General features: G+C 44.4%; 1 protein-coding gene and 1 non-coding gene across 10 annotated transcripts in view, besides 2 other annotated features; both read left to right on the top strand.

The window, feature by feature from the left end:
- Window positions 1–12,725, top strand: part of CTPS2 (CTP synthase 2) — a 124,912-nt gene that overhangs the window by 74,653 nt on the left and 37,534 nt on the right. The window lies entirely within an intron of this gene.
- Window positions 7,237–7,883: an enhancer, noted in NCBI's record as "H3K27ac-H3K4me1 hESC enhancer chrX:16648498-16649144 (GRCh37/hg19 assembly coordinates)". NCBI's record gives its function as "activates a minimal SCP1, AML or CMV promoter by ChIP-STARR-seq in primed H9 embryonic stem cells {active_cell/tissue: H9 hESC(primed)}" and the evidence as "EXISTENCE:reporter gene assay evidence [ECO:0000049][PMID:30033119]".
- Window positions 7,884–8,531: an enhancer, noted in NCBI's record as "H3K27ac-H3K4me1 hESC enhancer chrX:16647850-16648497 (GRCh37/hg19 assembly coordinates)". NCBI's record gives its function as "activates a minimal SCP1, AML or CMV promoter by ChIP-STARR-seq in primed H9 embryonic stem cells {active_cell/tissue: H9 hESC(primed)}" and the evidence as "EXISTENCE:reporter gene assay evidence [ECO:0000049][PMID:30033119]".
- On the top strand, window positions 11,173–11,246 carry MIR548AM (microRNA 548am). The gene has a single exon (NR_039762.1). It is a non-coding gene; the product is annotated as a microRNA 548am (primary transcript).

The raw sequence follows: 12,725 nt of genomic DNA, 5'->3' as shown, positions 1-12,725 counted from the left end.
TTTGAGACAGAGTCTCGCTCTGTCACCCAGGCTGGAGTGCAGTGGCACGATTTCGGCTCACTGCAAGCTCCGCCTCCTGGGTTGACGTCATTCTCCTGCCTCAGCCTCCCGAGTAGCTGGGACTACAGGCGCCTACCACCGCGCCCGGCTAATTTTTTGTATTTTTAGTAGAGATGGGGTTTCACAGTGTTAGCCAGGATGGTCTTGATCTCCTGACCTCATGATCTGCCCGCCTCGGCCTCCCAAAGTGCTGGGATTACAGGCGTGAGTCACCACGCCCGGCAAGAATTCTTCAGAAAAATGCCTTCTTAACTCAAGAAAGAGTAAGACCAGAAATATGAGCTTTTCCTTTAAAGATGAATATAAACCTTCTAAGGAATAGAAAGCTTCCTAGCCAGAATGAAATTAAAAAAGGAAAGGCTTCAAAGTGAATACAGTTTCCTCCTTTCTCTGCATAAAAAGCCATTGTTCTCTAAGTCACTAACATTTTTCCTTACACATACTATATAAGAACTTTTTTTCTTCATGAATGTTAGCAATTCTGTAGCTTTCAGGTGTCTTCAGATTCTATGAAACTTTGTTCAAGTAATTGCCTACGTGACAAAAAATGGTTGGTGAAAAATTAATGTCCTAAAATTATATCTATTGAGAAAGATTCAGTGATAATTGTACTAAGTTTTTAAAAAGAGCATTGTACTCAATATAGTTAAAAATTTGATAGATATAAGTCTGATTTAAGATTTTTCTTGGCCAGTCGCACTGGCTCACACCAGCACTTTGGGAGGCTGTGGCCGGCAGATTGCTTGAGCCCAGGAATTCAAGACCAGCCTTGGCAACATGGGGAGACCCTGCCTCTACAAAAAATACAAAAATTAGCCTGGCATGGTGGCTCATGCCTGTGGTCCCAGCCACTTGGGAGGCTGAAGCGGGACGATCACCTGAGCCCAAGAGGTTGAGGCTGCAGTGAGCCATGATGGTGCCACTGCACTCCAGCCTGGGTAAAAAAGATTTGTTTTTCTTAGTGCTGGATGTGGTGTAATGTGCCTGTAGTCCCAGCTGCTTGGGAGGCTGAGGTGGGAGGATTGCTTGAGCCCAGGAGTCGGAGACCAGCTGGGCAACATAGTGAGACTCCGTCTCAATTTAAAAAGTAAAATTTGTTTTTCTTCACAGTAGACATAAAAATATTGATGATTTGATGATTTTCATGAATCTTAAACACAGCAGCAAAGCTTGTTTTGAAAAATTTTGAAAACAACTTTATTGAGATATAATACATCATATAATTTGTCTATTAGTAGTGTACAATTCACTGATTTTATTTTTTATTTTTTATTTTTTTTTGAGACGGAGTCTGGCTCTGTCGCCCAGGCTGGAGTGCAGTGGCGAAATCTCGGCTCACTGCAAGCTCCGCCTCCCAGGTTCACGCCATTCTCCTGCCTCAGCCTCCCAAGTAGCTGGGACTACAGGCGCCTGCCGGCTATTTTTTTTTGTATTTTTAGTAGAGATGGGGTTTCACCGTGTTAGCCGGGATAGTCTTGATCTCCTGACCTCGTGATCTGCCCGCCTCGGCCTCCCAAAGTGCTGGGATTACAGGCGTGAGCCACCGCGCCCGGCCCAATTCACTGATTTTTTTAGTGCATTCACAGAATTGTGCAACCATCACCGCAATTTTAGGATATTTTCATCACCTCCTGTAGAAACCCTGTGCCCATTAGCTGTCACCATCCCTACTTCCCGCCAGCCCCTGGCAACCACTAATCTACTTTCTGTCTATAGGTTTGCCCATTATGGACATTTCATGTAAATGGAACCATATGATTTGTGGTCTTTTGTGTCTGGCTTCTTTCTTTCTTTTTTCTTTTTTTGAGATAGTCTCACTCTGTTGCCCAGGCTGGAGTGCAGTGGCATGATCTCGGCTCACCGCAACCTTCACCTCCTGGGTTTAAGCGATTCTCCTGCCTCAGCCTCCTGAGTAGCTGGGATTACAGGCACCCACTACCACGCCTGGCTGATTTTTGTATTTTTAGTAGAGACGGGGTTTCGTTGGCCACACTGGTCTCGAACTCCTGACCTCAGGTGATCTGCCCACCTTGGCCTCCTGAAGTGCTGGGATTACAGGCGTGAGCCACCATGCCTGGTCTGTCTCCTTTCTTCTAGCATAATGTTTTTTTGCTACATCCACATTGTAGCATGTATCAGTACTTCATTCCTTTTAATGGCCAAATAATATTCCATTGTATGGATAGACCACATTTTGTTTATCCATTCCTCAGCTGGTGGACATTTGGGTTGTTTCCAGGCAACAATTTCTTTAATTTTTTCTCCTTAATTTTTTAAAAAGTCCTTTTTCTAAAGGGAAAGAAAAGTATGTTGCCTTAAATTTAAGTTGTGCTTCATAGTTTCCAAGAAGTATGTGATATATGAACTTGTGCCCTCCCACTTGTGCAGCACTGTCTTCCACAGGTCTCCAAAAAAGGCTGTGCCAGAGATAAGAATGTGACCACTGTGCAAGGCTCTACTGAGTGGCATACAAATATCAAAACATATAGCATGATAGTGTTTTTTTGTTTTCTTTTGTTTTTTGAGACGGAGTTTCACTCTTGTTGCCCAGGTTGGAGTGCAGTGGTGTGATCTCGGCTCACTGCAACCTCCGTCTCCCAGGTTCAAGTGATTCTCCTGCCTCAGCCTCCCAAGTAGCTGAGATTACAGGCATGTGCCACCACGCCCTCCTAATTTTGTGTATTTTTAGTAGAGACGGGGTTTCTCCATGTTGGTCAGGCTGGTCTCGAACCCCCAACCTCAAGTGATCTACCCGCCTCAGCCTCCCAAAGTGCTGAGATTGCAGGCATGAGCCGCCGTGCCTGGCCGATAGTGTTTTATGAACGTTTTTTTTTCTCCTAGTCAACATATTTCTTTTGTAGAATTTTATGTATTTATTTATGTTTTTATAAGCTGGTACATTTCTTTTGTAGGATTCCCCCATCCCGTATTGGCATATTTCTTTTGTAGACTTTTTTCCAAGTCAGCACATTTTTGCAAGAATGCTATGAACAAAATACATTTGCCTACATTGCCTGTGAAAACAATTAACAATTTTGATAGAAAGCATTGAAATGCTACTCATTTTTTTCATTTAAATTTGACTTATAGGCCAGTAGTTACAATGCTTGGATTAAATAGAAAAACAGGAAAGTAAAGAGTCCTCTAGTAAAAAATAATGCCTTGAAATAGGGTCACAGCCTAAAGATATTGATAGCCGCAGTGGATGGATGACTAGAGTGAGCCTTTTTTTTTTTTTTTCTCTTTTTGAGACAGAGTTTTGCTCTTGTCACCCAGGCTGGAGTGCAGTGACACCATCTCGGCTCACTGCAACCTCCGCCTCCCAGGTTCAACCGATTCTCCTGCCTCAGCCTCTCGAGTAGCCGAGAGTACAGGCATGCGCTACTATGCCTGGCTAATTTTTTGTATTTTATTTGATGTGGGGTTTCACCACCTTGGCCAGGCTAGTCTGGAATTCCTGACTTAGGGTGATCCTCCTGCCTCGGCCTCCCAAGGTGCTGGGATTATGGGCGTGAGCTACTGCACCCAGCCGAGCCTAACTTTTATATTCAAGAACAATTCCTCTTTTTTTCTTAATAACCTGTTAATTCCTTAAGGGTTATGAAAACTATGAATTCACTTTTTCTGAAGTGGAGATTATAGGTTTGAATTGATTTGGACAAAAGTACTGGTAATGATTATTTGCCCTACTTATAAGCAGTGTGTTCCTAGAAGTTCCCTTCCTGTGTTCTATGTGTTGTCTTCATCTGCAAAGGCCTTTTCCTATAAAAGGGCTAATGACAGTGTGTGTAGAATTATCAAAGCTGATTCAAGGGTCCTTAGAAATGAGACATTTTGAGGAAGAGGGAGAGATTTGTTAAAGGATTCAAAATAATTACCCTGATTTGATCACTATACATTATATGTATTGAAATATCACTATGTGCCCCATAAATATGTATAATTATTGTCAATTAAAAAAAGAAAGAAGATTTTTTCTAAACTGTATTATCTATAATCCTGTATCTGAGTATTAACTGCATATCCATGGTCTTTTCCAGACTTCATCAAGATTAGTTTTTATGTAGTCTTTTCTGGTGGCATCACTTTTTCCTGTATCTGGTCTTCCTGTCTATGATCTGTGCATATAGTATTTAATCGCGTTAAGGAGGCATATTCTGCTGATTCATTTCCTACTGATAAAACACTTCACATGGTTTCTGGCATTTTGTTAGAAAAATGCTGAATCGAACATCCTGACACAGTGTTTTCGTTCTTTTGAATATTTCCTTAGTATAGATTTCCAGGAGTTGGATTATTAGGTCAAAGGGTATGAACACTTTTATGACTGATAATTCTGCCAGACTGTTGGAAAGAAGGGCTGAGCAAGGTCATAATGACATTCACTGTACTTGTGTCCCTGCTTTCCCTAGTCTTTTTGGTAGGATTATTTTTCTTCTTGCTGTATTAATGGAAACAAAAAGAGCCCTATTTCTGTTCATTGCTAAAAAGTGAAAACGTTTTCTACTTCGAATGTTGATTTACTTGTGTATATAGTGCCCAGGTCTGAAGTCTTTATTAGGACTTAACTATGGGTTGGTAAACTTTTTCAATAAAGGGCCAGTTAGTAAATATTTTTGGCTTTGTAGCCATTGTGGTGTGTAAACAGCTACAGGCAAATATGTGAGTGAACGAGCACGGCTGTGTCCCAGCAAAACTTTATCTATGGGCGCTGAAAGTTGATTCCATATCATTTTCATGTGGCATGAAATAATATTCTTTGATTTAATTTTTTCAACCAATTTAAAATGTAAAAACCATTCTTAGTTCAAGGGCCAAACAGAAACAGTCAGGGGGATCCCATGACTGTGGGCTGGGCCATAGTCTGTTGAATTCTGGTCCAAACAAGAACCTTTCAGCCTGGGCAACATAGTGAGACCCTGTCTCTACAAAAAAATTTTTAAAAAATCAGCCAGGTGTGGTGGCATACACCTGTAGTCCCAGCTACTCAGGAGGCTGAGGCAGGAGGATTGCTTGAGCCCAGGGAGTTGAGGCTGCAGTGAGCCATGATTGTACCACCGCACTCCAGTCTGGGCAATAGAGTGAGACCCTGTCTCAAAAAAAAAAAAAAAAACAAAAGAAAAGAAAAAGAAAAAGAACTGCATGTTGAATGAACTCCACGGATGAGGCAGTGAGCTGCTCCCATCCTAGGCAGAGTTGAAGGACATCATCTCCCCACTTCTCTACTGGCTTGCATACATATCCTATTTTATGACAGAGAATAGGACTAAGGGGGCTTTCAGAAGCCGTTTGATCTAACCTCCTTATTTTTCAGCTGAGGAAATGGAGGGCTGAGAGATGAAGTGGCACACAGTTGGGAGAGTCAGAACCAGGGCTTGGACACTCTTCCCACGTTATTTTCTAGTCTTCTAATAAAACATGCTGTCCTGGCTCCCCCATCTAGTGCTATAATCACTCTCCAAAATGTAACTCTTGGCCAGGCATGGTGGCTCATGCCTGTAATCCCAGCACTTTGGGAGGCCAAGGCGGCCAGATCACTTGAGGTCAAGGGTTTGAGACCAGCCTGGCTATCATGGTGAAACCTTGTCTCTACTAAAAATACAAAAATTAGCCGGGCATGGTGTGGTGTGTGCCTGTAGTCCCAGCTACTTAAGAGGCTGAGGCAGGAGAATAGCTTGAACCCGGGAGGCGGAGGTTGCAGTGAGCCGAGATCATGCCACTGCACTCCAGCCTAGGTGACAGAGCAAGACTCTGTCTCAAAAAAAAAAAGAAAGAAAGAAAAAAAAGGTAACTCTTGAAACACCCAATTGTTAGACTCCTTGATGCTCTACCTTCAGGTCTGTATATTTAGTTGCATGTAAATTATACCTCGATTTTTTAAAAACTCATTTTTCTCCTTTTAAAAAAGTTTTTAATTTTAAAAAATAGAGACGGGGTTTCTCTTTGTTGCCCAGGCTGGTCTTTAACTCCTGGCCTCCAGCAATCCTCCTGCCTCAGCCTCCCAAAGTGCTGGGATTACAGGCATGAGTCACTGTGTCTGGCCTTAAAAAAGCTTATACTATCTGGAAAGTTAGATAGTAGGGCTTGTCTCCTTATAGTGATGCTATTAGTTGATTAATTAACTCATTAGACGATTTTTGAAAAGCAGGGAGAAGTGGCACAGTGTGGGTAAGTCTTAAGTGGGGTGCTTTGAAAAGTAAGAAATGTAGAATGAGGAGTGGCTAAAGATGGAGGGATCAGGCTCAGGTGAGAGGGGAGCCAGGGGAACACTGAGGAACTAAGTTAATAGACGGTTTTAAGACTCCAAAAATAAACTTTATTGTTTTGCTTGTGGCTCTCAACTGAGAGCACAAGAGATGGGAACATAATAAAGCACAAAGAAATTCAGACAAGGTTCAGAGCTCATTCAGGGATGGCCAACAACTTGATAGTGTCTCTAAAATATTACAAGACCCTGGCCTTAATTTGCTTGGTCAAGTCCCAGATGTGTTGCCAAGACATCCAGCGAGGGAGGCAAGACTTTGTGTTGAATGTGGTTTCCAAACCAAACTGCCACCTGCTAGAAAGAACATGTTTTTCAGACCATTTCAGTTCACATGTTTGAATACTGCACAATCTGGTGTGTGTGAATTTAGTAGGAATGCTAGCCCCAAACTTATTTATTTATTTCTTTATTTTAGAGACAGGGTTTCACTGTGTTGTCCAGGCTGAAGGGCAGTGGTGTGATCGTAGCTCGCTGCAGCCTCAACCTCCTGGGCCCAAGCAGTCCTCCTGCCTCAGCCTCCTGAGTAGTTGGGACTACAGCCACATGCCACCACGCCTGGCTAATTTCTAATTTTTTTTTTTTTTTGAGACAGAGTCTTGCTCTGTCGCCCAGGCTGGAGTGCAGTGGCATGATCTTGGCTCACTGCAACCTCCACCTCCCGGGTTCAAGCAATTCTCCTATCTCAGCCACCCGAGTAGCTGGAGCTACAGGCGCCCGCCACCACGCCTGGCTAATTTTTGTATTTTTAGTAGAGACGGGTTTCACCATATTGGTCAGGCTGGTCTCAAACTTCTGACCTCAGGTGATCCACCCGCCTCGGCCTCCTGAAGTACTGAGATTACAGGCATGAGCCACTGTGCCTGGCCTAAAATTTTTGTAGAGATGAGGTCTCTTTGTTGCCCAAGCTGATCTGAAACTCTTGGCCTCAAGAGATCCTCAATGGCCTTTTGTACACTTTTTCAATAAGGGACCAGATAGTAAATATCTTTGGCTTTGCAGCCATTGTGGTGTGAAAGCAGCTACAGACAAATATGTGAGTGAATGAGCATGGTTGTGTCCCAACAGAGTTTTATTTATGGGTGCTGAAAGTTGATTTCATATCATTTTCACGTGGCATGAAATGTTATTCTTCATTTTGTCCAGCCATCAACCTAATTTAAAGCTCCCAAATTCTCTATGCCCTCCAAACCAGCACCCAAACAGTTAGGGAGCACTTACCCTTAGAAGCAGGGGAATGCCACAAGGTGGAAGGGTGCAGAGAAGACCCACAGGCTCGAGGAGAGAGAGGAGGGAAGAGGTGGGCCTTGAGCACGGGGTTGTACTGTGGGCTCCCTATAGGGAGGTGTATCTGGTCCGGTTAAGAATGCAACACAACACAGGGCCGGGCGCGGTGGCTCACACCTGTAATCCCAGCACTTTGGGAGGCCGAGGTGGGCGGATCACCTGAGGTTGGGAGTTTGAGACCAGCCTGACTTACCTGGAGAAACCCCATCTCTACTAAAAATACAAAATTAGCCAGGCGTGGTGGCACATGCCTGTAATCCCAGCAACTCGGGTGGCTGAGGCAAGAGAATTGCTGGAACCCGGGAGGCAGAGGTTGCAGTGAGCCGAGATCACACCACTGCACTCCAACCTGGGCAACAGAGCAAGACTCTGTGTCAAAAAAAAAAAAAAAAAAAAATACAACACAACAAACTTGAAGGAATTAGGAGCCCAGGGCAGTGCAGTTTATACAACTGGAGACTAGGACCTGGTGATTTCCGGAGTTCTGTGAAGCTGGCCCTCATCCTCAGAGCAGATGACATGAGGACAGTGAGGTTTGATGCAGGCAGATAACAGCTGGCAGAGGAGGCCAGGGAGAGCTCCTCAGGTTGATGCCGGCAGGAGCATGACATGACTCTGGCATACAAGACACGAGTGAAGCCTTCTGGACCTGGCAGGTGGAAATGGAATGCTTTAAGAAAAGGCTTCATTCCTTTCAGGGACCTTCTCTGCATTTCCTCGTATTAAAGAAGAAGAACTTGACTAAAACGACCAGTTCTGCTTTAATGTAAGGGAAAAAGTGTTTTGTTTGGAAAGAACAGAGGCACGAGGCCCATTAAAAAGATATTGAGTGAGACCCAGTGCTGGGAGTCCCGGTACAGTTTATGGCATTGCAAATGCAGAGTGGTTAAGTCTAAAATTTGAAAGAGCTGAAAGAAATGGGGAGAAGTTTTCAGGGGCTAGAAAAATGGCTTTTGCTTTCTTGTCTCTTATCAAAGCATTGATATGGAAAAACAGCTTCTGGCTCCTGGTGTGATTAGATTAGGAAGTTTAAAAATTAAAACCAAAACCAACATTGAATGTTCGTGAAACATTAGAGCAGGGGAAAAAAAAGAAAAACCATGTAAAAAAAAAAAATCCTCGACTGAGTTAATGAGGTAATTTACATAACAGTTTAAAAGAGGTCGCCCGGGATTTAGGGACCCTGAGTCCATGCCATGGTAATTTGTCATTGTGCTGAGACACAAATTCCAGAGGAGCACGGCAGGGCTTCGTGAGAGCTGCATACCACTTGGCGAGCCTCCCCGCCTGCCCCCAGAGCCCAGGTCCACACTGCAGGGTGGCTGTCTTCTTACTGCTTCTTGCCTTTTACTGGGGAAACCATTCGCTAAAGCGTGTTTGTTAATATGGAGGTTCATAGGTCTGGGACATAGCACCTTTCATCCTAACAACAGATGGCATTCCTGCCCCCTCTCTAGACAAGCACTTGTCCTCATCACTTCACCGAAGGGAACTAGTGGAGTGGTTAAGAGCCCAGCCTGTGGAGCCACTGCTCACCAGAGGCCCGTTGGGCCTCAGCTCTCAGTCTCTGGCTATGTGGAGCTACTTACCCGCACCACGCCTCAGTTTCTGCATCTGAAAGACAGAGATAAGAGCGCCGCCTCATGGGGTTCTTGTGAGGGTTAAATAAATGATATGCGGGAGCCCTTAGAACAGTGCCTGGCACAGAAAAGGCACTGTTTAAGTGTGGCTGATATTTGAGAGCATTGACCTGTGATCTTCTCAAAGCTTGGGGCAAACGTCGGTTAGTGACCTGGCATTAAGAATGAGGTCCCACTAGGGGAGTGGGAGGGAAGAATAGGCTTTCCCTTGCTCTTGCAAGGTTATTTCTATTCTGTCTTTCTTGGCTGCTAGCTCCCCACTTGCCAATGCATAAGATCTAAGAAAAGAGATGCCAAGAATGAGGTAAGAATACTAAATGGAAAACAAATGAAAGTGATGAAAGGTGGGGTGTGGTGGCTTACGTCTGTAATCCCAGCACTTTGGGAGGCCGAGGTGGGTGAATCACTTGAGGTCAGGACTTTGAGACCAGCCTGGCCAACATGGAGAAACCCCGTCTCTACTAAAACTACAAAAATTAGCCAGGCGTGATGGTGCATGCCTGTAATCCCAGCTACTTGAGAGACTGAGTCAGGAGAATCACTTGAACCCAGGAAGTGGAGGTTGCAGTGAGCCGAGATCACACCACTGCACTCCAGCCTGGGCGACAGAGTGAGACTCCGTTTTAAAAAACAAAACAAAAAGAACAAAAAAAGTGATGAAAAAGAATGTAATGCTATAATATAGAGTTAAAAGCAAAGACGCATTTTTCAACTCAGATGTATTATACTAAAAAATTGAGATAAAAGCAGATTAGGAAGATAAAATTAGGGAAGGGGGAGGAGTTTAGATACTAAAAGAAATGAAATATTTTATAAAAATTGGAGAAATGACATTCTAAAATTCAAAAGTAAGAAATAAAGGAGAAATATAGGAGAAAGTAAAGGAGAAATAAAGGAGCCAGCTGTGGCTGGCTGCAACTCGGTGCTTTCTGCACACCAGTAATTAAGACATTGCTCTCATCACCCCTAGGACCCAGCCACCATTTTGCACAAAAGAAAGGAATCTTAGCAAAGTTAAGTCACTCATCCAGGTCACTTGTTAGAAAGTCATTGAGCTGACTCTTTGACCACCTCACTGTACCAAACGGCTGGACCTTAATCAAAGAAGAGGCAGAAAAACCCAAACAGCTCCCAGAGCTGGATGCTGCCCTCACTGAGAATCCTGAGAAAAGGTTTTGCAGGTTTCGGGGGTGTCTGGTGGGTGGAGAGCAGGGGGTGCAGAAAGCGAAGACCCTACCCCAGGCCTCTTCTGAAAGCCAGTCTGAAACCGCGGGTTTAGCTTAAGGATAGACACAAGCACTGAGTCAGTTTTGCACTGAGCATCTAGGCCAGTAGGGCATGCAGACAGGCAGGTGTGAGAAATGCCACAGCTTAAGCTCAACAATCAGCAGCAGCTACACTGAGCCTTAGAGTTAGAGAGGCAGTAAGGAGTGGTAGGGACTGTGGCAAATCAGCAAGCATGTGCCCCATCAAAGAAGTGACTTCCACAGCTGGTAGTTGTATCAAGAACTGTGGATTCACTGCTGCCAGTCTTCTAAATTTTCAAGAAAATCTGGAAATCTGGAGTTTTATGTAAAATCTCCTGACGTTTAAATGTTGGCAACTTATTTACATTTTTAAAATATTGTGTGTTTGCCAGCACTCTGCAAGCGAAATACAACAAATATCTGCACCCTGGGCAGCCTCTTAGGATCTTTGAATTAGATAAGCACTGAATTAGATAAGCATCAGCAAATTCTTGCACATACGAGAGGGCTCTGGTCCTTAAAATGCCTAATTAGCAGAAGGCATGGTTGCAGGTAGTCTTAAAAGTGAAGTAAATTAAGACACTGGTGCAAAAAGGACATTTGTGTAAAAGCAAGGCAATTCTACCAAGAAAAGAGGTAATGAAGCCCAGCAGGTAGTGGTTTTACTTTTTTATTAAGTTGGTGCAAAAGTAATTGCGGTTTTTGCCGTCGAAAATAATGGCAAAAACTGCAGTTACTTTTGTACCAATGTATTAGATGCTATGGGTGATTGCCTTTAGCCCCCTGGAAATAGGAGATATGGCACCGGGGGAAAGATAAGGATCAGAAGGTATAGAATGGGAGTGGACAGCTATGTGGGTGATAGCTTCCAGGGGAGCGAATGTGGGAGAAGAAAAGAGGGTACAGTCTTGGGCAGGGGTCCCCAGTTGAGGATGATGAACAGGTAGATGGGGCAAAAAGTGCCTGGAGGAGCAGAGGTCACAGAAGGGGAAGGGTGGCAGCTGAAGACAGACCTGCTGGATTTTAGAGAGCAGTTCTGTAAAGTCACAGGAACAAAAGCCAGGTTGCAAAGGGTGGGAGTGGGAGGTTTGAATAAAGGGTGAGTCAGAGCAAGAGGGCATCATGGACAAGAGTGGGGCTGGATGATTTTTGTTTTTTATTTTAAAAATTTTTAATTGTGGTAAAATATACATAACATAAAATGTACCATCTTAACCATTTCCTAGTGTACAGTTCAATTGTGTTAAGTACATTGCATTGTTGTACAGTCTCCAGAACTCTTCTCATCTTGCAAAACTAGAAACTATACCCATTAAATAGCAACTCCCCCTTCCCCTGGCCCCTGGCAACCACCATTCTATTTTCTTTCTTTCTTTTTTTTGAGACAGAGTCTCACTTTGTTGCCCAGATTGGAGTGCAGTGGCATGATCTTGGCTCAGTGCAACCTCTGCCTCCAGGTTCAAGCGATTCTCCTGCCTCAGCCTCCTGAGTAGCTGGGATTACAGGTGTCCACCACCACGCCCAGCTAATTTTTGTATATTTAGTAGAGATGGAGTTTCACCATGTTGGCCAGCCTGGTCTCGATCTCCTGACCTCAAGTGATCTGCCCCCCTTGGTCTCCCAAAGTGCTGGGATTACAGGCATGAGCCACCATGCCTGGCCTCTATTTTCTGCCTCTTTGGGTTTGACTACTCTAGATGATATGGACAGGAGACCGGGAAATACTGGGCAGAAGAGGGCGATTCTCTGGCAAAGGCCCGACCCTCAAGCCTGGAAACCTGTGGCCCTAAATAAGAACAAGCATTCCTGTTTTCACCCCCAAATGTTGCCTTTTGGCCCGCCATGCCCCCTATCCTGTACTATATAAACCCCAAACCCCAGGCTCCATGAGCAGAAGAGTGGTGTGGCAGAGAAGGAGAGAAGAGAAGGAGCATCTGAACATGGAGAGGAGTCCGGCTGGGGACCATTGGAGAGGAGATTGGCTGCTGGACGGCCAAACTCCAGGGGAAGATCATCTTCCCACTCCATCTCCTTCCTCCCCATCCATCCCACTGAGAGCCACCTCCACCACTCAATAAAATCCCCGCATTCACCATCCTTCAAGCCCATGTGTGACCTGATTCTTTCTGAATTCCGGACAAGAACCCAGGCACCAAGAAGGCACTGAGCTGGTTAACACTTAAGCCATCTATGGACGGCAGAGCTAAAAGAGCACTGTAGCAAGCCCAG

The sequence above is a fragment of the Homo sapiens genome, chromosome X (genome assembly GCF_000001405.40).
Source record: "Homo sapiens chromosome X, GRCh38.p14 Primary Assembly".
NCBI lineage: Eukaryota > Metazoa > Chordata > Mammalia > Primates > Hominidae > Homo > Homo sapiens.
This window is presented reverse-complemented; position numbering and strand designations above follow the sequence as displayed.